Here is a 24,140-nt window from a genome sequence, read left to right as displayed (position 1 = left end):
GGTGTACAACCCCTGTTATATTGGGAGTAATATCATCTTCTTTAAACCCGGATATTAAGAACAATATATCTTGTGGGGTGTCCATCCCTTCAATATTGGTAGTAATGCCATTTTCTCCCCCACTGTATATAAAAAATACAATATCATAGGCGGGGTGAACAACTCCTGCAATATTGGGAATAATATCACCTCTCCCCATGTGGTTGTTAGAGACAGTATCACAGGATGGGTGTACACTTCCTACGCTATTGGGAATAATATCATCCACTCACCCCTTGGATATCAGGAAGCATATCACAGAAGGGGTGTACACCCCCTGTGATGTTGTAATATCCTCTCCCCGCGTGGATATTAGGAACAATATCACATGGGTGGTGTACTGCCACTGCGATATTGGGAGTGATATCAGCCTGTTTCCCGCTGGATATTAGGAACAATATCACAGGGGGTATGGACACCCCCTGCGACATTGAAAATAATATCAACCTGTACCCCACTGCAGATTAGGAAAAATATACAAGGAGTGTTTAAACGCTTTGCGATATTGGAAGTAATATTATTCTCTTTTCCCTGTACATTAGAAACTATACACAGGGGGACTGTACATCCCCTGCGATATTGGGATTAAAATTATCCTCCTTCCCACTGAATAGTAGGAACAATGTCACAGAAGGGTGCACACCTTGTGCGATATGGCCAGTAATGTCATCGTCTCCTTCTCTGGATATTAGAAAAATTATCACAGGGTGTGTACACCTCCTGCACTACTGGAAGAAATAGTATTCTCTCTTTTCCTGCATATTAGAAATAATATTATAGGCGGAGCGTACACCACACCCCTGCGATATTGTGTGTAATATCATCCTCTTTTACCCTAAATGTTAGGATCAATATCACAGAAAGCGTGTACATTCCCTTTGACACTAGGAGTAATATCATCCTTTCCGCCAGAAATAGTAGGAAAAATATCACAGAAGGGGTGGGCATCACTTGCGATATTCTGAGTAATATCGTCCTCCCCCCACCTGGATATTAGAAAGAATATCACGGGTGGGGTGCACACCACCTGCGATATTGAGAGTAACATAATCTTCTACTCCCACGGATATTGAGAACAATATCATAGGGGCGGTGTACACTCCCTGCGATATTGAAATTAATATCATCCTCACCCCTCCTAGATATTAGGAACAATTTCACAGGGGAATGATTCACCCGCTGCAACATTGGGAGTAATATCATCCTTCGCCCCCTGGATGTTAGGAACAATGCCTCATGGGGGTTGTACAGCCCGTTCCATTTTGGGAGTAATATCAGTTTCTTCATTGCTGGACAAAAAAACCCCAATATTACATGGGTGGTGTACACACCCTCTTATATTGCCAGTAATATCATAAATCCCTTGCAAAATATTGGGAACAATACCATAGAGGGGTGTGCACCCCTAGCGATATTGGGATTAATATCATGCTCTCCCCGCTGTATATGAGGAACAATATAAAAGAAGGGGTGTCCACCTATTGCGATATTGACAGTAATATCCTCTCCCTCCCTGGATATTCGGAACAATACCACGGGGTTGATGTACACCCACAGCGATATTGGGGATATTGGGAGTAATATCACCCTTTGCCCCCTAGATATTAAAAAAAAAAAAAGAAAAACAGAGGGGGTGTAAACCCCCTGTGATTTGGCCAGTAATATCATCGTCTCCCCCACTGGATATTAGGAACAATATCACAGGGGTGGTGAACACCTCCTTCAATACTGGTAGTAGTATCATCCTCTCCTCCCCGCTGGAGATAGAATAGAATATCAGAGGCCAGGAGTATGCCGCCTGCAGAACTGGGAGTAGTATCATTCTCTCCACCTCCCCGGATATAGGGAACAATATCACAGAGTGGGCGTACACAGACTGCGATATTGGGAGCAATATCGTGCTCTTTCCCCTGAATATCAGGGGAGGTCTACACCTTCTGCAATATTGGGATTAATATCGTCTTCTCCCCGCCTGGGTATTAGCAACAAGATCGCAGAAGGGATGTACACCCACGGCGATATTTGGAGTAACGTCATCCTCTACCCCCTGGTTATTAGGAACAACATCACATGGGGGTGTACGTGTTCTGAGGTATAGGAAGCAATGTCATCCTCGACCCCCTGGATATCAGGAATAATATTAATAATTATTATTAACAATCGATAATTAATATAATTAATAAAATCAACAACGATAATAATGACGATTAAAATTAACCATTAATATTAATAACAAAATTTATTAATATTAATTATTAATAATGACTGATGTTAATACTGATCTTCTATATACAATAACGAGAATGATGATTAAAATTAACTATTAATATTAATAACAAAATTTATTAATATTAATTAATAATGACTGATGTTAATAATAGTGATCTTCTATATACAATAACGAGAATAATGATGATTAAAATTAACCATTATATTAATAACAAAATTTATTAATATTAATTATTAATGACTGATGTTAATAATACTGATCTTATATATACAATAACGATAATAATGACGATTAAAATCAACCATTAATATTAATAACAAAATTTATTAATATTAATTATTAATAATGACTGATGTTAATAATACTGATCTTATATACACACAAATATGTATAAAATAACATTATTAGCTACTAATAATTATTATTAATATTAGTAGTCTAATAATGCTAACAATTATTTGTTCATATTAATCTTAGAAATTAATATTAATGTTAATGTTCTTAGTAATCACTATTGATAATAAATGATTAGTGATTAATAACGATATTCCTCCTAATACCACAGTGGGTGTACACCCACCTGTGATATAGTTCCTAATATTCAGGGAGGGAGAGCATGATAATACTTTCAATACGGCAGTAGGTGTACACCCACCCTGTGATATTGATGCTAATATCCAGGGGGTAGAGTATGACGTTACTCCCAATATAGCAGTGGGTGTACATCCACCCGGTGACATTGCTCCTAATATTCACGGAAGAAGAGAATGACATTACTCCCAGTATCGCAAGGAGTGTACGCCCCTTCTGTGATATTGTTCCCAATATCCGGAGGGGGAGAGGATGATACTGCTCCCACTATCGCAGGCTGTGTACAACCACCCTGCAATATTGTCCCTAATTTCCAGCAAGGGAGAGGATGATATGACTCCCCATATAGCAGGAGGTGTACACCCACCCTGGGATATTGTTCCTAATATCCACGGAGGGGAGAGGCTGATATTACTCCCAATATCGCAGGGGGTGTACATCCACCCTGTGATATTGTTCTTAATATTCAAAGGCGGCGAGGTTGATATTATTCCCAATATCGCAGAAAGTGTATAACCCCGTGTGATATTGTTCCTAATATCCAGAAGAAGAGAAGATGATATTACTCCCCATATCCTAGGAGGTGTACAGCCACTCTATGATATTTTTCCTAATAGTCAGGGAACGAGAGGATAATATTATTCCTAATATCGCAGGGGGTGTACATGGGCCCCCGTGATATTTTCCTTAATATTGCAAGGCGGAGAGGGTGATCTTACTCCCAATATCGCAGAAAGTGTACACCCCCCCCACCCCCAGTGATATTGTGCCCATGATCCAGGAGAGAAGAGGATGATATGACTTTAAATATCGCGGGGGGTGAACACGCCCCCAGTGATATTGTTTTGAATGTCAACCAGGGAGAGGATGATATTGCTCCCAATATCGCAGGGAGTGTACACCACTTCTGAGATATTGTTCCTAATATCCGGAGGGCGAGAGGATGATATTACAGTCAATATCGCAGGCTGTGTACATCCACCCTATGATATTGTTCCTAATATCCAGGATGGGAGAGGATGATATGACTCCTCATAGAGCAGGAGGTGTACATCCACGCTGGGATATTGCCCTAAATATTAAAAGGCAGAGAGGATGATACTAGTCACAATATTGCAGAAAGTGTACACCCAGCAGTGATATTGGTGCCATGATCCAGTAGAAAAGAGGATGATATTATTTTCAATATCACAGGGGGTGTACACGCCCCCAGTGATATTGTTCCTAATCTCAACCTGGGAGACGACGATATTACACCGAATGTCACTGGGGGTAGAAATATTCTTCTGATATGCTTCTTAACATCCAATGGGAAGAGGATGGTGTTACTGCAAATACTGGAGAGGGTGTACACCCGTAGGTGACACAGCTGGTAATTTCCAGAGGCGGAAAAGACAATACTCACGATAACGTAAACACGCTGTGTGTCCACCGTGGATCGTAATATCCAGGCGGGGAGAGGCAGGGGGATATTACTCCCCGCATCGCGGGGGGTGTCTGCTTTCCATATTGGGGGTATTATTAATATGTACCCCGCTGCATGTTTGGAAAAATTTACAAGGGATGTTTACACGCTTTGCGATATTGGCAGTAATTCTGTTCTCTTTTGCGGTACTTTGGGACCTATGTCATAGGGGGGCTGTACATCTCCTGCGATATTGGGATTAGTATTGTCCTCTTTCCCACTGATTATTAGGAGCTGTATCACAGAAGGGCGCACACCTCCTGCCTTATGCCCAGTAATGTCATCCTCTCCTTCCCTGGATATTAGGAAAAATATCAGTGTGTGTACACCCCCTGAGCTCTTGGATGTAATATTATTTTGTCTTTTCTTGCATATTAGAAATAATATCACAGACGGAGTGTACACCCCACCCTGCGATATTGTGTGTTATGTCATCCGCTCTTAACCAGGGCATTGGGATGAATATTACAGGGGCGTGGTCACTGTTTTCGATAGCTGGAATAATGTCATCCTTTCCCCCCAGAAATAGTAGGAAAAATATCACAGAAGGGGTGGACATCACTTGCGATATTCTGAGTAATATCATCCTCCCCCCACCTGGATATTAGAAAGAATATCACGGGGGTGGGGTGCACACCACCTGCGATATTGAGAGTAACATAATCTTCTACTCCCACGGATATTGAGAACAATATCACAGGGGCGGTGTACACTCCCTGCGATATTGAAATTAATATCATCCTCACCCCTCCTAGATATTAGGAACAATTTCACAGGGGAATGATTGACCCGCTGCACAATTGGGAGTAATATCATCCTTCGCCCCCTGGATGTTAGGAACAATGTCTCATGGGGGCTGTACAGCCCGTTCCATTTTGGGAGTAATATCTATTTCTTCACTGCTGGACATAAAAAACAATATTACAGGGGTGGTGTACACACCCTCTTATATTGTCAGTAATATCATGGACACCCCCCCGCCAGGATCCTAGGAACAATATCATAGGGGGGTGTACACCCCAAGAGATATTGGGGTTAATATCATGCTCTTCCCCCTGTATATGAGGAACAATATCAAAGAAGGAATATCCACCTATTGCAATATTGGGAGTAATATCATCCTCTAACCCCTGGATATTAAAAGCGATTTAACAGAGGGCGTGTATGCCCCCTGTGATTTGGCCAGTAATATCATCGTCTCCCCCACTAAATATTAGGAACAATATCACAGGGGTGTGTACACCTCCTGCGCTATTGGGAGTAATATCATTCTCTCTTCCCCTGGATATTAGGAATAATATCACAGGCGGGGTGTTCACCTCCTGCAATATTGGCATTAATATCATCCTCTCCCAACCTTCATAGTATAAACAGTATCACAGGGGTGGTGTACACCTTCTTCCATACTGGAGCAACATCATCCTCTCCTCCCATGGGGATAGAATACAATATCAGAGTCGCGGAGTATGCTGCCTGAAAATTGGGAGTAGTATCATTCTCTCCACCTCCCCGGATATAGGGAAAAATATCACAGGGTGGGTGTACACAGACTGCGATATTGGGAGCAATATCATGCTCTTTCCCCTGAATATTAGGAGCAATATCAAAGCGGGGGGTGTACACCCTCTGCTATATTGAGAGTAATATCGTATTCTACCCCCTGAAAATTAGGAGCAATATCAGAGGGAGCTGTACACCCACTGAGATGTTGGGAGTAATATCATGCTCTGCCCCCTCTGGATATTAGGAACTACATCACAGCGGGATGTACACCTTCTGCGGTATTGGGAGTCATATGTCCTCTCTTCCCCTGGATATTAGAAACAATATCACAGGGGGGAGTCTACACTCCCTGCGATTTTGGGAGTAATATCAACCTCTCCCAACCTGGATATTTAAAACAAAATAACAGGGTGGTGTCCAGTACCTGCGATGTTGGGAGTCATATCATTTTTTCCCCTGCTTGATATTAGGAACAATATGCCAGAAGGGTGCACACCCTCTGCCATATTGGGACTAATGTCACCCTTTCATCGACTTTATATTAGGAACAATATCCCAGGAAGGGTGTACACCCTCTGCGATATTGGGAGTAATATCATTTTCTCCCCACCTTCATGTTAGGAAGAATATCACAGGGGGTGTGTACACCCCCCACGATATTGGGAGTAATACCATCCTCTCCCTCCCTGGGTATTAAAAACAATATCACAGGGGGGCATGCACACCCCCTGTAATATTGGGAGTAATATCATACTCTTCCCCCCTGACTATTAGGAACAATATCATGGAGGGGGTGCACACCCCCTGCCTTATTGTGAGTCTTATCATGTTCTCTACCCCTGGACTTTAGGAACAATATCACAGGGGTGGTATCCATACCCTGCGAAATTGGGAGGTATATCATCCTCTCCACCTTTGGATATTACGGACAATATCACAGGGGAGGTCTACACCTTCTGCAATATTCGGATTAATATCGTCCTCTCCCCGCCTGGATATTAGCAACAAGATCGCAGAAGGGATGTACACCCCCTGCGATATTTGGAGGAACGTCATCCTCTACCCTTGGTTATTAGGAACAACATCACAGGGGAGTTTACATGTTCTGCGATATAGGAAGCAATGTCATCCTCGACCCCCTAGATATCAGGAATAATATTAATAATTATTATTAATAATCAATAATTAATATAATTATTAAAATCAATAACAATTATAATTAACCAGTAATATTAATAACAAAATTTATTAATATTAATTATTAATAATAATGACTGATGTTGATAATACTGATCTTCTATATACACAAATATGTATAAAATAACATTATTAGCTAATAATTAATATTAATATTAATAGTATAGTAATGTTAACAATTATTTGTTCATATTAATATTAGAAGTTAATATTAATGTTAATGTTCTTTTAAATTAATATTGGTAATAAATGACTAGTGATTAATAATGATATTCCTCCTAATACCATGGTGGGTGTACACCCACCTGTGATATAGTTCCTAATATCCGGGGAGGGAGAGCATGATATTACTTTCAATATGGCAGTAGGTGTACACCCACCCTGTGATATTGATCCTAATATCCAGGGGGTAGACACTCCTCTGATAGAAACACTCCTCTGATATTGTTTCTAATATCCCAGGGGGGAGAGGATGATATTACTTGTGATGTTGGAGAGGGTGTACACCCGTCTGTGATAATGTTCACAATTTCCAGAGGTGGAGATGATATTACTCACAATATCGTAAACACGCTGTGTGTCCACCATGGATCATAGTATCCAGGGAGGGAGAGGGGGGTGATATCACTCCCCATATCGCGGGGCGGGGGGGGGTCCACCCCACCTGACATACTGTTTCTTATATGCAAGGGGGAGAGGATGGTATTACTACCAATATCGAGGAAGTGTACAGGCCCCTGTGATATTGTTCCCAATATCCACGTTGGGAGAGGATGATATTACTCCCAATATCACAGGGGGTGTACACCCCACCTGTGATGTTATTCCTACCAAATGGACACCTCACCCACCTGTATCCATTTCCTTCCTCAGCCCAGGCACAGCTCTGGGATGCCAAAGTGTTTTCAATCATTGGCTTTATTCTAAAGAGCCCGTTAAGGCTGCCAGGACTCAGGGGGAACCGGCCCAGCTGGTCTGACTGGTTGGGCAGCACTTTGTAATTCCTGCTTCTCCCGGAGGGCTCCTATATCTCCTCTGTTCCACTCCTCAATGCTCCTAGCTTGGACATTGCCTGGGATATGCCAGGCTCATGGCCCTGGCTCCCCTTTGGCCAGTACTTATCACCTGGCACTTCCTAGCAAGCCCCTAACCCCTTGAAGCCGTGATGAAGAGCACTGTGATGTTTTAACTTCTGCATCTTTCCTTTCCTCCCAGACCCATCTGTGGACAGGCAGTCCTATTGTCAGGCAAATTGCATTCATCCAAGGTCTTAAGAGTGGAGGGACTCTCCTCTTCCGGGGTTCACACCTCAGGGCAGCTCTACTCCACCAAGTCTTAGAGGGAATGTCTACTTGTCTTGGGCACTGGGGAGCATTGTGAACATTTAATGGGGATGGGATAGTCTGTCCCACAAAGCATGGGACAATCCCACACAACAACACATTGTCCCACCCAAAATGGCAGTAATCCCCCTCCCACCCTTGAGAAACAGAGCTGGCCCCACTCCAGTCACACGCAGATGTGCAGTTTGTATAAACTCCATGAATGTGATTCTCAAACTTGATTGTGCAGATGAATCACCCGGGGATCTTGCTGAAAGGCAGATCCTGATTTCTAGGTCTGAGTGGGGCCTGAGATTCTCCATTTGTAATGAGCTTCCAGGCATCCTTCAGGCTGCTAGTTTGAGGCCCACAGGTTATGTAGCTAGGCCCCACAATACAAATGTGCTTGTGTTTTCTTTTATGGAGGGGCATTGTCTTTTGGGGAAACTTTGTCGGCAGAATTGGTTGAACTGGGAGTGCCACTGGCATCTACTGGGCAGAGGCCAGTTATTCTGTTAAACATTCTACAAGGGTCAGGGCAGCCCCTCACAACAAAGAATTCCCCAGCCCAATGTGTCAGTAATGCCGAAATTGAGACACCCTAGCTTAGGTGAAATTTCAAAACAATGTGAAATATATCTGTGGACAATCTTACTTCACTGCAAGTTGGGGACTCCAGCCACAAGGCTGTGAACATGTGTCATTGACTGAGGTTCTGGTCCCTCTAGGCATAAGCAAATTCAGCCAGTTAGGACTTAGAAGCACTGGCTCAGGTCCTGGTGAATAAACTGTGGTAGTAGGTGTGATCCTTCACAAGCCTCACACCGGCCACGGTCTCATAGCTCACACAGTTTAAGATATCAAAATTTTTAAATAATCTGGACTGATGGCCAGGCTCAGTGGCTAACGCCTGTAATCCCAGCACTTTGGGATGCCGAGGCAGGTGGATCATTTGAGCTCAGGAGTTCGAGACCAGCCTGGGCAACATGGCGAAACCCCGTCTCTATTAAAAATACAAAAATTGGGCCAGGCGTGGGAGCTCACGCCTGTAATCCCAGCACATTAGGAGGCCGAGGCAGGCAGATCACAAGGTCAGGAGATCGAGACCATCCTGGCTAACACGGTGAAACCCCGTCTCTACTAAAAATACAAAAAATTAGCCAGGCATGGTGGCGGGCGCCTGTGGTCCCAGCTACTCGGGAGGCTGAGGGAGGAGAATGGCGAGAACCCAGGAGGCAGAGCTTGCAGTAAGCTGAGATGGCGCCACTGCACTCCAGCCTGGGCGACAGAGTGAGACTCCCTCTAAAAAATAAAATACAAAAATTGGCCAGGCGCGGTGAAGATGTATGTGTCCAGCCTCTTTGTCCCAGGCTGGGCAGCTCTCTGAAGATCCTCTGGGGCTCAGGCAGGGAGTGAATGAGCCATGGCCTCCCCTGGATATGGGGGAGGAAGGAGCGGGAGTTGAGAGGGGAGAGAGTTCAGAGGCATTAGGTCTCTGAGGCACTGGGCCTCTGCCCCTTACTTCAGGAAGGTCCCAGAACAGTAACTGCATCTGGGCTGCAGCTACTGTCCTGTCCTGGGGCCCTGCCCTGCCCTGCCCTGTGATCTGCAGCTACTGTCCTGTCCTGGGGCTCTGCCCTGCCCTGTGCTGCATTCCTGCCATCTGCTTCCCACAGGACAGCTTGTAACACTGGGGTTGATTGCAGTCACTAGTGGATGCCAGAATTAATTCATTGTTTACATTTGCTTCTAAATGTATGAAAATAAGCACAACATCTGTGTCTATTCCAAGAGGCCTGAGGTTATTTTTATTCAGATTCCCAGGCTGGCAATGTGGGGTCTCTGTGGGCTTTCCAGAGGGCCTGGGGCATTGAAAAGATGGGACCATTTCCTTTGTAAGGACAACAGCCCATTTTCCCTGTACTTCTCCTCCTTCTTTAGAAATTCAGCCCTAGATCCTGTGAGGGGATGGAGAAATGTGAACCCAAACCCACAAAGGAAGCCTAGAAGAAAGTCCTGAGCCGTCACAGGAATGGATTCAGCCCGTGAGATGCTGCCTTCCCGGTGAAGGAGCAGAGGTCACAGGATTGTCATATTCATTTTTACAATAATAATTTTAGAATTAAACTTTATTTTCTGCTACTTGAGTTTCTAAGTTATGCACTGGAAAAGTAGGTAGTAACTAAAAGTGGATTCAACCACAAATTCGCTGCAGCCCTGGTGGGGGAATTATCAGATAAGTATTTAACATGTAAATCTTCCCTATTTTTAACTAGCAATAGCTCCGAAAGACAGTGACACTGAATGGCAGGTTCACTAGAGGTTCTGGGGGGTCAGAGAGGAGGCTTAGGCAGCTGACTGATCACACTCCTGCCACTCCTTCCCTTTTCTGGGAAAGGGAAGGGAAACTAACATTTCCTAAGCATCTACGTAGTTGGCACTATGCTTAGGACTTATACATTTGTCATCTCGTTGAAGCCCCAATTTTTATAAATAGATGAAGTTGGGACTTATAAGTTTAAGTAACTTATAAGGTACACACAGTAGGATTTCTGTCTGCCGGAGGATTCCAAATCTCACCTTTCTTTTACTCCTAGCTACTTTCCTAAAACAGCCTGTAGGAAAGCAACTTTACCAGCAAGCGCAACTGAGGGGCCAGTGGCTATTCCCTCTAATCACAGGCATGGCTGGGGTGAAAACCCACTGTTTCCAAACACCTCATCTTGTACAATCACTTACAGAGGATGGCACATGAGCTCTAGGTTATCCTGCCTTCCATTTCACTCCAAATTCTGCTAAACTCCACACCAAGTTCTCTTTCTGAGATATCATCCTGGGCTTTGGAGACACCAAAGTTAAGCCAGGTTGGGCAAGTGTGGCCAGGTAGACAGACTGCATCTAGGGACAACTGGATCAGGCTCTTGGAGTGCTTGGTTGGGGCTCATAAAGGATCTTCCTTGTTGCATGAATAATTAAAGGATTTGGGTGACACAAGAGCCTCTTAATGTCAAGACAGATGCCTGTTTGTCCTCCAGAGGGAATTTATAGCACGGAATGATTAAAAATTAGTATCAGGCTCAAGCTCTCCATGTCTTTTCCCTGGGATGGCTGTTCTTCTAAAGGGAAGAAGCAGGATGAATTGTTCCATGACCCTCTGCTCAACCTCAGGTTACAGAAGGGGCTCTGTCTTCTTCCTGGGTCTTTTTTATAGGGCCAATTTGGGAGGAGGGGTGAAATGATGGAAAGGGTATTTTAGGGTCCTTTCCATAATTTACTTTAGAAAACTTACTCATTGTAAAGATTGAATAGTCTTCTCTTCTTGTAAACTCAAAGCTCTATGTACAGATATATTCCAAAATCCCAGATGTACATTTGAATAACATGGGGGAGCTTTAACAAATCCTAATGCCTGGATCTCATCCCTAGAAATCCTGATTGGTCTAGGTGAAGCATGGCCATCAGGATTTTTTTTTTTTTTTTTTTTTGAGACAGAATCTTGCTCTATTGCCTGGGCGGGAGTATAGTGTTGTGATTTGGGCTCACTGCAACCGTTGCCTCCCAGGTTCAAGTGATTCTTGTGCCTCAGCCTCCCTAGTAGCTGGGATTACAGGTGTGCACCACCACACCTGGCTAATTTTTGTATTTTCGGTAGAGACGGGGTTTTACCATTTTGGCCAGGCTGGTCTCAAAATTCTGGCCTCAAGTGATCTGCCCACCTCAGCCTTCCAAAGTGCTAGGATTACAGGTATGAGCCACTGCACCCAGCCAGCATCAGGATTTAAAGAAATTCCCCAGTAATTCTAATGTGCAGTCAATATGGAGAACTATTGCCTCTGAATCACCCAGAGAGCTTATTAAAACACAGATTGAGCTGGGCATGCTGGCTCATGCTTGTAATCCCAGCACTCTGGGAGGCCAAGGCAGGAGGAACGCTTGAGGCCAGGAGTTTGAGACCAGCCTGAGCAACATGGTGAGACCCTGTCTCTAAACAAAATTTAAAAATTAGCTGGGTATGGTGGTGTGCACCTGTGGCCCCAGTTACTAGAGAGGCTGAGGCAGAAGGATCATTTGAGCCCAAGAGGTAGAGGCTGCAGTGAGCTGTGATGATGCCACTGCATGGCAGCCTGGGCAACAGAGCAAGACTTTGTCTCTAGATAGATAGATAGATAGATAGATAGATAGATAGATAGATAGATAAAAACACAGATTTTTGGGTCCCACTCTCAGAGTTTCTGAGTCAGTAGGTCTGGGAGGGAGATCAATAATATGCATTTCTAACAAGTTCCAGGTGATGCTGATGCTGCTGAACCAGGGATCACACTTTGAAAACCACTATTCTAGAAAGAATCTAGGAGAATGTTATTGTTAATAATAATAACTACTGTACTACCATTTATTGAGTATTTACTATATGTAAGGCACTTTGGTGTCAAGCATTTTACATGCATAGTCTCATTTTATTTCTATAGTCATTATATTCTATTATAGTCATCTCTCAATATCTGTGTAGAATTGGTTCCAGGGCCTCCACTGGATACCAATATCCACAGGTGCTCAAGTTCCTTATATAAAATGATGTAATATTTGCATTTAACTTATGCACATCCTCCCATATACTTCAAGTCATCTCTAGATTACTTACAGTACCTAACACAATGTAAATGCTATGTAAATAGTTGTTATATTGGATTGTTTAGAAAATAATGACAGGAAAAAAAGTCTATTCATGTTCAGTACAGATGCAATTGTTTTGTTCCTGAATATTTTTGAACTGAGGTTGGTTGAATCTACAGATGCAGAGCCTGTGGATACAGAGGGCTGACTGGAATATGATTTTTAAGGTAATTTGTATGCTTTTTTTTTTTTCAGACAGTCTTGCTCTGTCGCCCAGGCTAGAGTACAGTGGCGCGATCCTGGCTCACTGCAACCTCCGCCTCCAGGGTTCAAGCAATTCTCCTGCCTTAGCCTCCCGAGTAGCTGGGACTACAGGCACCTGCCACCAGGCCTCTCTAAGTTTTGTATTTTTAGTAGAGACGGGGTTTCACCATATTGGCCAGGCTGGTCTCGAACCCCTGACCTTGTGATCTGTCCACCTCGGCCTCCCAAAGTGCAGGGATTACAGGTGTGAACCACCAAGCCCAGCCTTATATGCCATTTTTAACATGCTACAGTTATTTTTTATGTGCTAGGTTTGATTCCTCAACTAGAACAGCTTCTATAAACAGGGCCAACAGTTTTTTCATTTTTCTTCCAACTTTATATTTTATTTTATTTTATTTTACTTTTTTGAGACAGAGTCTCGCTCTGATACCCAGGTTGGAGTGCAGTGGCAAAATCTTGACTCACTGCAGCCTCGACCTCCTGGGCTCAGGTGATCCTCCTGTCTTAGCCTCCAGAGTAGCTTGGACTATAGGAACACCCCTCCATGCCTGGCTCAACTCTTTCTCTATCTCACAGTTGTCACACAGTGCTGAACACATGGTAGTATCTACCATTTGTTGAGCATCTATTCTATACAAAAGCACTCTAATAGGTGCTTTGTATAGTTCATTAGAATTTCTACTCCCCAACAACCACATGAGGATGTTATAATTATCTCCATCTGAGAAGTGATGTAACTAAGTTCAGAGAGGTTAATTTACTACTCCCAAATCACCAGCAGGTGCCAAGGCTGAGATTTGAAACCCCATTTGTCTAACTCCAAAGCCTTGTTCTTACCCTGTTACACTGGCTTCTTCTTCTTCTTTTTTTTCTTTGAGATGAAACCTCCTTCTGTCACCCAGGCTGGGGTGCAGTGGCATGACCTCGACTCACCGCAACCTCTGCCTCCCAGGTTCTAGTGATTCTCCTGCCTCAGCCTCCCGAGTAGCTGGGATTACAGGCATGCACCACCATGCCCAGCTAATTTTTGTATTTTCAGTAGAGACAGGGTTTCACCATGTTGGCCAGGCTGGTCTCAAACTCCTGACCTCAAGTGATCTGCCTGCCTTGGCCTCCCAAAGTGTTGGGATTACGGGCATGAGCCACTGAGCCTGGCCAACACTGGCTTCTTAACTGAGTCACAGTGTTATCTCACTGTGGTCATAGTATTATTTCGCTGTGTTATCTGTGGCCACCCAATTAAATCCCCGAGGAATCTTGGCTCCTTCAGTGGCCCCTGGGCATGATGAAAGTGGAGGAGGGGTGGGGCAGGCCAGTGGGAAGGCAGGTAGGAGACATGTCTTATACCTCATGGCCTTCCTAAAATTCCTAATGTGGTTTGATGAGGATAGCACATGGTATGTGCCCTAGAAATACTTAATGTAAAGGAAATAGTTTTTTTCAGAGAGGAAGTAATAATTATTTCAGTTAAACCTGTGGGGAATATGTAGAAAGAGGAAAGGACCCCATTGCCAAGGGGAGAACGTGATCAAATGAAACCAGGTCCCCAAAATATAAGACTAAATTATTTTTTAAAAATCGCATTTCAAAGAAAATGACACAAACTTTGTTGTAAGTACCAAAGAAATGGAATACAGAAGCTCTCTGCCGACAGGGAATATTTGAGCAATAAATATTTAAGCAAAAACTTCCTGCAGACAAGGAAACTAGTAAACTCCAAAAATGCTTTGCTGAGGAACTACGTTCCATACTCAAAGCAACATCAAGGTTCTTTTCTCCTCACCTCTGAGAACTTCTCCAAACCATAGTAAGGGTCATAGTCTATGATCTTGTCTCAGTGGTGATATAAACTGGAGAAGTATTTTCTCCCTCAGGTCAATAAGAATCTATGCCAGAAGCTTATACAGGGGTCACTTTTGTATATTTTACACCTTCACTGTGAGAGGGGTCAAGATTGGCAAAAAAAAATTACTCTGAAGCATCTGGGAATTTTTAAAAATTTCCTCCTTTTTTGTATTTTCCTAACTTTCAAGATTGATCTTGATAGTTTTTATTTATTTATTTAGAGACGGAGTCTCGCTCTGTTGCCCAGGCTGGAGTGCTGTGGTGAGATCTTGGCTCACTGCAACCTCCGACTCCGGGGTTCAAGCGATTCTCCTACCTCAGCCTCTTGAGTAGCTGGGATTACAGGCACGTGCCACCACGCCTGGCTAATTTTTGTATTTTTGGTAGAGAGGGGGTTTCACCATGTTGGCCAGGCTGGTCTCGAACTCCTGGCCTCAAGTGATCCACTTGCCTTGGCCTCCCAAAGTGCTGGAGTTACAGGTGTGAGCCACCGCGCCCAGTCAGTTTTATATTTTTTATTTTTATTTTTTATCACAAGTTTGCATAGCCTCAGTTGATACTAAAGATTCCATGAAACCTGGAATAGATCTCATAACCTAGCCTAATTCTGGGGAAGAATTCAGAGTCCTTGGGGTCCCCATTTGTTTCTTTAGGGTTTATTACATCTGGTGCAGCTTTGTGACCTGAAAACCTTTGGAGTGATTCTGAAATGGTCCTATCATTATCCAGGTTCACACTGCAGCTTGACATTTCTTTAAACAGAGTAAACCAGTGTTGGTCATTTAAGGCTGGGCTGGTCCTAAAAGAACAACTTGATATTTATTCAAATCACTGATCCAGGTGCCTTAACCCCTACCAAGGAGTCGGTCAGGTTCAGCATTTGAAGAGCTATCTGAGAGCTGGGAGAAACCCATATTGGTCTCTGGCTTAGGGTTGATCTCTGTGTGAAGAGACAGTGATAACCCCACCTGTAGAGGCATTTAAAATGTCGCTCAGACTCAAGTGAACCCTTTTCAAATGGGGACGATAACATTAAAAGAAGCAGCCTCTCCACACAAGATGACTTCCACTAAAATGTCGAGTATTTTATGAGCCTAAAAGGCTGACTGCTATTGCTGTGACCCAGGGTGGGGCCAGAGAGAGGTGGTGAATGCAGGAAGAAACCACCGTAGGAAGAGAGATGAAGAGATAAAGAAAGAGTGCTACGTGAGGAGGAGGGAGACAGAAGTTGGCAGAGAGGGAAAGAACATCCAGGACAGGCAGAAGAGAAACTACAGGGACAAGGATCTCTCCTCAGTTCCAGAAGATTCCATGGCAATAGAGGGAGGAAAGTGGCTAGGCGTGGTGGCTCACGCCTGTAATCCCAGCACTTTGGGAGGCAGAAGGGGCGGATCACCTGAGGTCAGGAGTTCGAGACCAGCCTGGGTAATATGGCGAAACTCCGTCTCTGCTAAAAATGCAAAAATTAGCCAGGCATGGTGGCTCACACTTGTAATCCCAGCTACTGGGGAGGCTGAGGCGGGAGGATCACTTGAACCCAGGAGGCCGAGGTTGCAGTGAGCCAAGACTGTGCCACCACTGCACTCCAGCCTGGGTAACAAAGTGAGACCCTGTTTCAAGAAAAAAAATAATAATAGAGGGAGGAAAGCAAAGCCCAGTGTAGCATGTCTGCCAGTCGGATGGGCTGAGACCCCCACATCAGAGACATCCTGGCTGTGTTGGCAGGCTCTTGAGGGCCTTCTTCTCGCTGGCCCACGTCATTGAAAGGTAGCGATAAGGTTATGGTACCTGCCTGGGACTCCCCTCCCTTGCTTGTCTCCTGCATCCGAGAGGACTTTTCTCTGAGCCCACAGGATCTCCGAATGGTCCTTAGCTGAGAAGCCCCCTTTAGCCGGACCCCCCTCACCCACCCGGCAGTGATGAGAAAATGGACCTGTACAAATCTCATCTAAGTAGCAGACTGCAGTCCCATGTCCAGTCATCACATTAGCCTAAAGCTACAGGGCCAGGGCAGGGGCTGGAAGACAGGGCAGCCTGTTGAATGTAGTCAAGGATAGAAGTAGGAACCGAAAATGTGCCTTAGAGCTGATGCTGGGCCGCTGGACCGCTTCCTGCGGGTGATGCAATCGCTTCTGCCACAGGTGGTGGTGGCAGTGGGAGTGTTTGCAACTGAGAGAGCTGGAATGTACCTCGCTAGGCTGCCTCAGGCTTGGCCTTCCTGTTCAGGGGGCAGCCGGGGTCAGTGTGTTATTGATGGGGGAAGGGGAGTGAATCCTGTCTGTGGGGAGGGACTGAGTGTGCCTAAAGGCAGTAGAGGTATGGGATGTTAGCACTGGCTTTCATGCCAGGGTGGCTTCAGACTGTGCTTCTGTTGCTGTGGGCCCATACTCGGAGAAGTAAACTTAGTTTTCTTAAGTGTAAAACACGGCTGATGGTAATAGGTCTATCTTGAGGTTGTTAAAGCCTGAATGAGACACTGTTTGACACAACATGTCTGGCACATAGTAAATGCTCAGCAGGTGGGAGTTGTTTTCATTACAGCCCAGGGACCTGGGCAGGATTGCGCTAAGAGGTGGGTGTCAGCCCCAAATTCTCTTTTTTTTTTTTTTTTTTTTTGAGATGGAGTTTTGCTCTTGTTGCCCAGGCTGGAGTGCAATGGCATGATCTCAGCTCACCGCAACCGCCGCCTCCCAGGTTCAAGCGATTCTCCTGCCGCAGCCACCCGAGTTGCTGGGATTATAGGCATGTGCCACCACGCCCAGCTAATTTTGTATTTTTAGTAGAAGATGGGGTTTCTCCATCTCCAGTCAGGCTGGTCTCGAACTCCCGACCTCAGGTAATCCATCCACCTCGGCCTCCCAAAGTGCTGGGATTATAGGCGTGAGCCACCATGCCCGGCCCGTCAGCCCTAAATTCTAATCCCTGCTAAGCCAGACTATTTACCCGAGTTATGCCACCTCTGAATCCATAAGGGCATATAAATGCATGTTGGAAAAGATCACCTGTGGTAGCAGAGCTGGGAGCTGAATCCAGATCTCCTGACATCTAGCCTAGAGCTCTTTCTGTTTTTTTGTTTGTTTGTTTTTGTTTTTTGTTTTTTAAGAGACAGGGTCTCACTCTGTCACTCACCCTGGAGTGCAGTGGTGCAATCGTATCCCCCAACTCCTAGGCTCAAGTGATTCTCCTGTCTCAGCCTCCCAAGTAGCTAGAACCATAGGCGTGCACCACCATGTCTAGCTAATTTTTAAATGTTTTGTAGAGAAAGGGTCTCACTATGTTGCCTAGGCTGGTCTTAAGTGATTCCCCTGGCATCAAATAATCTTCCTGGCTTGGCTTCCCAAAGTGCTGGGATAAATAGACATGAGCTACTGCACCTGGCCACACTAGCCCAGAGCTCTGTCTACTCCACCTGATAACAGGTGGGCTTTGAGAGCAGGGAAATGGGGCTTCAGACATTTCCAGATGCTTCTATGCGAGGAAAGGCAAGACCATTTGGGAGAAGGCTGTTTTTCCTTAGCTTGTTTAGTTCCAGCTCTTCTTGCTATACCCTCCTCTAATCCTCAGTGTCTCTTTGAGCATGTGTATAGGTGTGTATATGCAAGTTCATGTTTGAGAAAAAAGGGTTCTGATGTGTTCAATGATCCCCAAGGGGATTGTGTCTGTACCTCCAGCTGCTGGCGTGGAGCCTAACATATGGCAAGTGCTCAGTAAATGTCTGATAAACTCACACCTGAGGGATTGAACCCCTGTCTCATGAAGCCCCTTCCAGAGAGAGACCCTGTTCCCCTCCAGGACAGTGGGGACTAAGGAGTTGGCTGAAAAACAGCTGATCTAACTCACTTCTCAGCCCAGATCATCTTGAACACCAAGTTCAAAACCTGGGACACTTGAAGCCGGGAAGGGACTGGTCCCCAGCTCTTCTGGGTGGCAGGTTTCCTTGATAGCAATAAATCTGGCCTCAGCTAGAAATTTCTGAGATTTCCCTGCCAATCCCAAAAAGAAGTGTGTACTGTTGTAGTGATGTACATTTGACCAGGAAAAAGGCTGACATCCTGGGAGAAGTAGAGTTAAAGAAAGTGTATTTCTGTTGGATTTCTTCATTCCTTGGCAGGATAAAGCTAACTTCTTTTCCACGGGCTGCACACTGGGTTGAGGAGAGGGGAGCTGAGGATACTGCCCTGAGGGCCTGGCTCATAGTTTTTCCAGTAAATTTGTCTCCAAAGACTTAGTGAGTGACTCATGTGCCAAGCCTGGAGCAGAGCAGTCGGAGGGTATCAAGGAGTAGATGGCATCACCCTTGTCTTCTTGGAGGATCATCTCGCTGGTGAGAAGAAACTCAGTCAGATAAGCTGGGTGCAGTGGCTTGCACCTGTAATCCCAGCTACTCAAGAGGCTGAGGTGGGAGGATCGCTTGAGGTCAGGAGTTTGAAATTAGCCTGGGCAACACAGGCGGACCCCCATCTCTATTAAATAATTTTTTAAAAAGAAAAAAAAAAGAAACTAAGATAAGACCAGGCATCCTAAATGGCAAAGCCAATGTAGACAGGACATTTATCGGGAATCCCCCACTGTAGCTTTCTTCCCACTTCCTAATACAGAACTACTTGTACTTTTTAAACGTGTGAATATACATTCATTTACTCATTCAACAAATATTTACCGAGTAGTCCCCCCAAATGAAACTGAACATATGCTGTTGTCATACTTCATGGGATCTTGGACTTCACATCTTATCTTCCAAGCTTTCCCAGAGGGTAGCATGCCAGCTTTAGTCCTTAGTTTCTGTATTTCCCTTTACATCCAGGTCTCTGAATTCCCAGATGCTTTCTCTTGAGTAGAGTACCTGCTTTTTCTATTTGAATCCCTCTGAATCAGCAATTGGCAAGAAGTGAGCTCATTGACTAGGCAATCAAATTTCTTAACTTGCCCAGTTAGTAGAAGCCAATCTGTCTGTTCTGGCGCACACACACACACACACGTGCGCGCACCCCCGCCATACGTGTGTGTGCACCCGCACACACGCATACACACACACCCACGCACACGCGTGCACACACGCCCACAAACACCTACCAGCGCACACACACGTGCACACACATGCACGCACACCTACCCACGCACACACACGCGCACACACACGCATACACACATGCACACACATTCGTGCGCACAAACACACACTCTCTACAACTCAGAAGAGAGGAACTATCCTTTGCAGACAGACGGATAACAGATAAAGTCCCTTTGATAGGGCAAGTCCGGCAAGGGAAGGACACCCACGTCTTGCAGATCCCTGGTCTTTCTTACATATATGAGCTCTTCTGGAAGTAGTTAAGGGGGTCAGGCACCATGTGCTCCCCCAGCAAGACCCCAACCTTACCCATAAATCAGTTTCCCATCTAACCCCTCCCTGGGGGTTGAGTTACAAACCTCAGTAACCCCAGGGCAGCCTGCCTGGTAATTCCTATTATTCAGCTGTCAGCTGGTTTTTTAAAAACCGCCCTTTCCAGTGATCCAGTTACTGGAGTTTTAGAGCCATTTCTTGTCTCAGAGAGAAATCCTATAGCCAGGTGAGACAATGGAGAGGGCTCCTGCCCGCTTTCTACAGGAGCTGGGTTTTCTCTCTGGTTGAGAGCAGCCTCCCCTTAACTCTGTATCCCTCCAAGATTGTCAGGGAAGGCCCTCCTCCCTATCAGCCTCCGTGCTGATGCCTTTCTCTGGGGACCCTTCTCCCAGAGCCAGCATCAGTTAGCAGAGGAGAAAACAAATTGAGACAAGGTGCAGGAAGAGAATGAGAGAAAGGAAATTCTCCAAAATAGAGGTTGCTGTGACTGCACTGTGTATTTGCTCCGAGCCCAGTCAAAAGCTCAGGGTTCATCTGTTCCCAGGGTGCTGCTATTGGTCAGGGGGCTCAGAGCCCAGATCTGCAGCACAGCAGGTCCTGATACTGCTGAGTCCATGCAGTGCTGAAAGGGGGAAAAGGGCATAGAGGGAGGAGTCTGCTTTGACAGTGATGAGAGGTGGGGGTGAGGCTCCTGACCTCCCTGACCCCTTTATCCCTGACAGTCCTTCTCTGGTCCCTCTAGCTCAGAAGGCTGGGCCCCTTGCTGCTTGACCTTAGAGACTGAGAGCGCAGGAGGCAAAGCCACAGGTGTCTTTCAGAACCAGCCTGAGGGAGCAGGCTGTGAAGACCTGGGAGAGAGGTCTTAAAATAAATATCAATAGTGATGTGACCCTCCCCATATCTTGCAAACTGCCAGACCCCCTGAGATACTCCCTCCTGTTCCTCAGCCCAGTTCTGTCACAATGACGATTTTCTGAAACCTTTATAGGGCCACAGACCACTTTATGAAACTGTTGTAAGCTATGGATCCACCCCACTCACAAAAATGTTTGTGTGTACCCACAAACACAGTTTAGCCAGTTTCAGGGGTTCATAAACCCTAAAGCTCAGGACTCTGATGAGCCTGATGAGTACATAGATCCCATATCAATATCCCATTCTTGGCTGGGTGCGGTGGCTCATGCCTATAATCACAGCACTTTAGGAGGCCGAGGTGGGAGGAGTGCTCGAGGCCAGGAGTTCAAGACCAGCCTGGGCAACATAGTGAGACCCTGTCTGTACAAAAATAAAAAATTTAAAAAGTAGCTGGCTGTGGTGGTGCACACCTGCAGTCCCAGCTACTTGGGAGGCCGAGGTGGGAGGATCACTTGAGCCTGGGAGATTGAGGCTGCAATAAGCTGTGTTTGCACCACTGCACTGCAGCCTGGGAAACAGAGCAAGACCTTGTCTCAAAACAAACAAAAAGAACCCATTCTCTCAGCTTCTTTGCCTTGTGGACCCAATTTTACCATGCAGGGCTGTGATGAAGCACACAGAGCTTTAGCATCTCAGGTGGGTCAGGAGAGCTACGATGGCCCCAGCCCTCAGGGCCTGTGCTGTCCCAGAGGGCAGATTCAGAGCTGCTGTGGCCTTGAGTTTCACTCTTGAACCGAAGGAATGCTCAGGGGCACCACTGGCCAGCCTGAGACACTGGTCTGATAGGAAAGCAAATGAGAAGAGAAGGATGGAAGGAAGGAGCGGAAGGGAGTCGGTGCATTGGAAATCACGGAGGGCTGCCGGTGCCCTTCACAGAGGCTAGGTTTGGTTTCTGTATCTCCCTACATGTAGCAGGAGTGCAAGGTCACTCTGACCAGCTCAGACATGCACTTTTGGCCAAGCCTCTGGGTAAAATAATATACCTCCTTTTGGCTTAGTGCCTTTTGCTGGAAATCTATCAATTTCGGGGGACTGTGCTACTGGCTAACCTTGACTCCCCACTCTTTCCCTTTTCCCTCTTTGTCCTTTGGAGACAGTATTTTTCTATTCTAGCAACCACAGCCCTCAATATGGCTGGTTCATTCTGTTTCAGGTGACTTCTGAGGGAGCAAAGGAAAGAATGATGGGAAAAAGGTACAAGGAGACTTCAGGCTCTATTGGGCTGAAGGTCCCAGCTCCACTGAACTTAAATCTAAGTTTACAACCCAGAGAGCAGCTCGGTGGTCAGAGCACTGCTGAGCCCTACTGCCCCTGGTGGGTCAGGGTTGTTGCAGGACTGGCTCCCTCTCACTGCTCTCTGGACTCATCATTTTATCTTTCCTAAAACTCAGGCTTGGTCAAGTCACTCATCTCCAATAAAATCTTTGCTGCCTCCCCTTTATAAAATACAGATTCTTCAGTCTGGCATTCCAGGGACACCTCTGTAGTCTGACCTGAACCCACCTGCCCATGCCTACCGTTCGTAAATCTCAGTGTGCACCCAATGATCCAGTCACCAAGCCTCCCTCTGCTCCCTGCACAGGTAAGCTCTCCAGCTCAGCACTTCAGTCTGCTACCCTTAGGCCTGGGCTATTCTTTTTTATTTTATTTTATTTTTATTTTTTTGAGACGGAGTCTCATTGTCGCCCAGGCTGGAGTGCGGTGGCGCTATCTCCGCCCACTGCAACCTTCACCTCCTAGGTTCAAGCAATTCTCCTACCTCAGCCTCCCAAGTAGCTGGGATTACAGGCATGCGCCACCACGCCCGCCTGATTTTTGTATTTTTAGTAGAGACAGGGTTTCCCGTGTTGGCCAGGCTGGTCTCCAACCACTGAGCTCAAGTGAACCACCCGCCTCGGCCTCCCAAAGTGTTGGGATTACAGGCGTGAGACATGTGCATCTGGTTTTCCTTATTGAAAAATATTTCCCATTCAATTTAAAAGCTGTCTCCCTGAGGCCTTCTCCAGCCTTTGTATTCTGAATTTTTCTGCATTCCTCAATAGTCATTATCCTTGGAATGAATACAATTCCAATAACTTTTCACTATTTTCAGGGCTACCTCTCCTAGTAGACTGTAAGCTCCTTGAGGGCAGACGCCAGGTTTCTGGCACTCAGCCCAATATCTGGCACAGAGTAGGTGCTCGGTAAATGCCTGTGAAGTAGCCCATAGACTCCCTTACGCGGTCTGCAGGACATGCTGCTCTCCTGGCAGCACCAGCACAGTCTCTAAATGCTGCCATATGCGAGATATGTGTCAACCGCTCAAGCAGCCCCGGCCTTCTTGAGCGCTCCGCTTCTCAGCCAGGTGCTTATTTTGCCAGTGCCCACGCCCAGTCAAGAAGAGGACCTAAGGGCTCCCCTGGATGTGTTTGTTTCAAACACACCTTCAGCTTTGGAGCTGCAGTTTTCTTCCGACCTGCTCGGCAGGCGGGAGGGAGCTTTCCCCTGAGGCTGGGATCCCATAGGGACCCGCACCCTGCACCCTGCACCCACTGGACGCACCAGCCTCATAAAAAAACTCCCCGCCTCCTTCCCCCCTCCCTTTGTGGACGCGCAGCAATTATTCTGCCCATTGCCGTGAAAAAGAAGACAAAAGTTACTTTGGCGCCCCCTCTCCCACACCTAATACAGAGGATTCAGGGACTCTCTGGCGCTTCCAGAGCCTGTGTTAGGGACAGAATCCGCACTGGCGACGGCGCTCCGACTGCGCTTCTGGCGACGGTCGGAATTTTGCTCGGCCCCTTGCAATGTTTCCATGGGAAGGTTCGT

At 45.8% G+C, this 24,140-nt stretch overlaps 4 annotated features.

The window, feature by feature from the left end:
- Positions 8,582-9,197: an enhancer, noted in NCBI's record as "H3K27ac hESC enhancer chr15:40416155-40416770 (GRCh37/hg19 assembly coordinates)". NCBI's record gives its function as "activates a minimal SCP1, AML or CMV promoter by ChIP-STARR-seq in primed H9 embryonic stem cells {active_cell/tissue: H9 hESC(primed)}" and the evidence as "EXISTENCE:reporter gene assay evidence [ECO:0000049][PMID:30033119]".
- Positions 9,198-9,813: an enhancer, noted in NCBI's record as "H3K27ac-H3K4me1 hESC enhancer chr15:40415539-40416154 (GRCh37/hg19 assembly coordinates)". NCBI's record gives its function as "activates a minimal SCP1, AML or CMV promoter by ChIP-STARR-seq in primed H9 embryonic stem cells {active_cell/tissue: H9 hESC(primed)}" and the evidence as "EXISTENCE:reporter gene assay evidence [ECO:0000049][PMID:30033119]".
- Positions 16,336-16,839: an enhancer, noted in NCBI's record as "H3K27ac-H3K4me1 hESC enhancer chr15:40408513-40409016 (GRCh37/hg19 assembly coordinates)". NCBI's record gives its function as "activates a minimal SCP1, AML or CMV promoter by ChIP-STARR-seq in primed H9 embryonic stem cells {active_cell/tissue: H9 hESC(primed)}" and the evidence as "EXISTENCE:reporter gene assay evidence [ECO:0000049][PMID:30033119]".
- Positions 17,165-17,224: an enhancer, noted in NCBI's record as "active region_9235". NCBI's record gives its function as "activates an Ori minimal core promoter by ATAC-STARR-seq in GM12878 lymphoblastoid cells {active_cell/tissue: GM12878}" and the evidence as "EXISTENCE:reporter gene assay evidence [ECO:0000049][PMID:35858748]".

The sequence above is a fragment of the Homo sapiens genome, chromosome 15 (assembly GCF_000001405.40).
Source record: "Homo sapiens chromosome 15, GRCh38.p14 Primary Assembly".
NCBI classification, from domain to species: Eukaryota; Metazoa; Chordata; class Mammalia; order Primates; family Hominidae; genus Homo; species Homo sapiens.
Note: the sequence above shows the minus strand (reverse complement) of the source record. Positions and strands in the feature narration are given on the sequence as shown.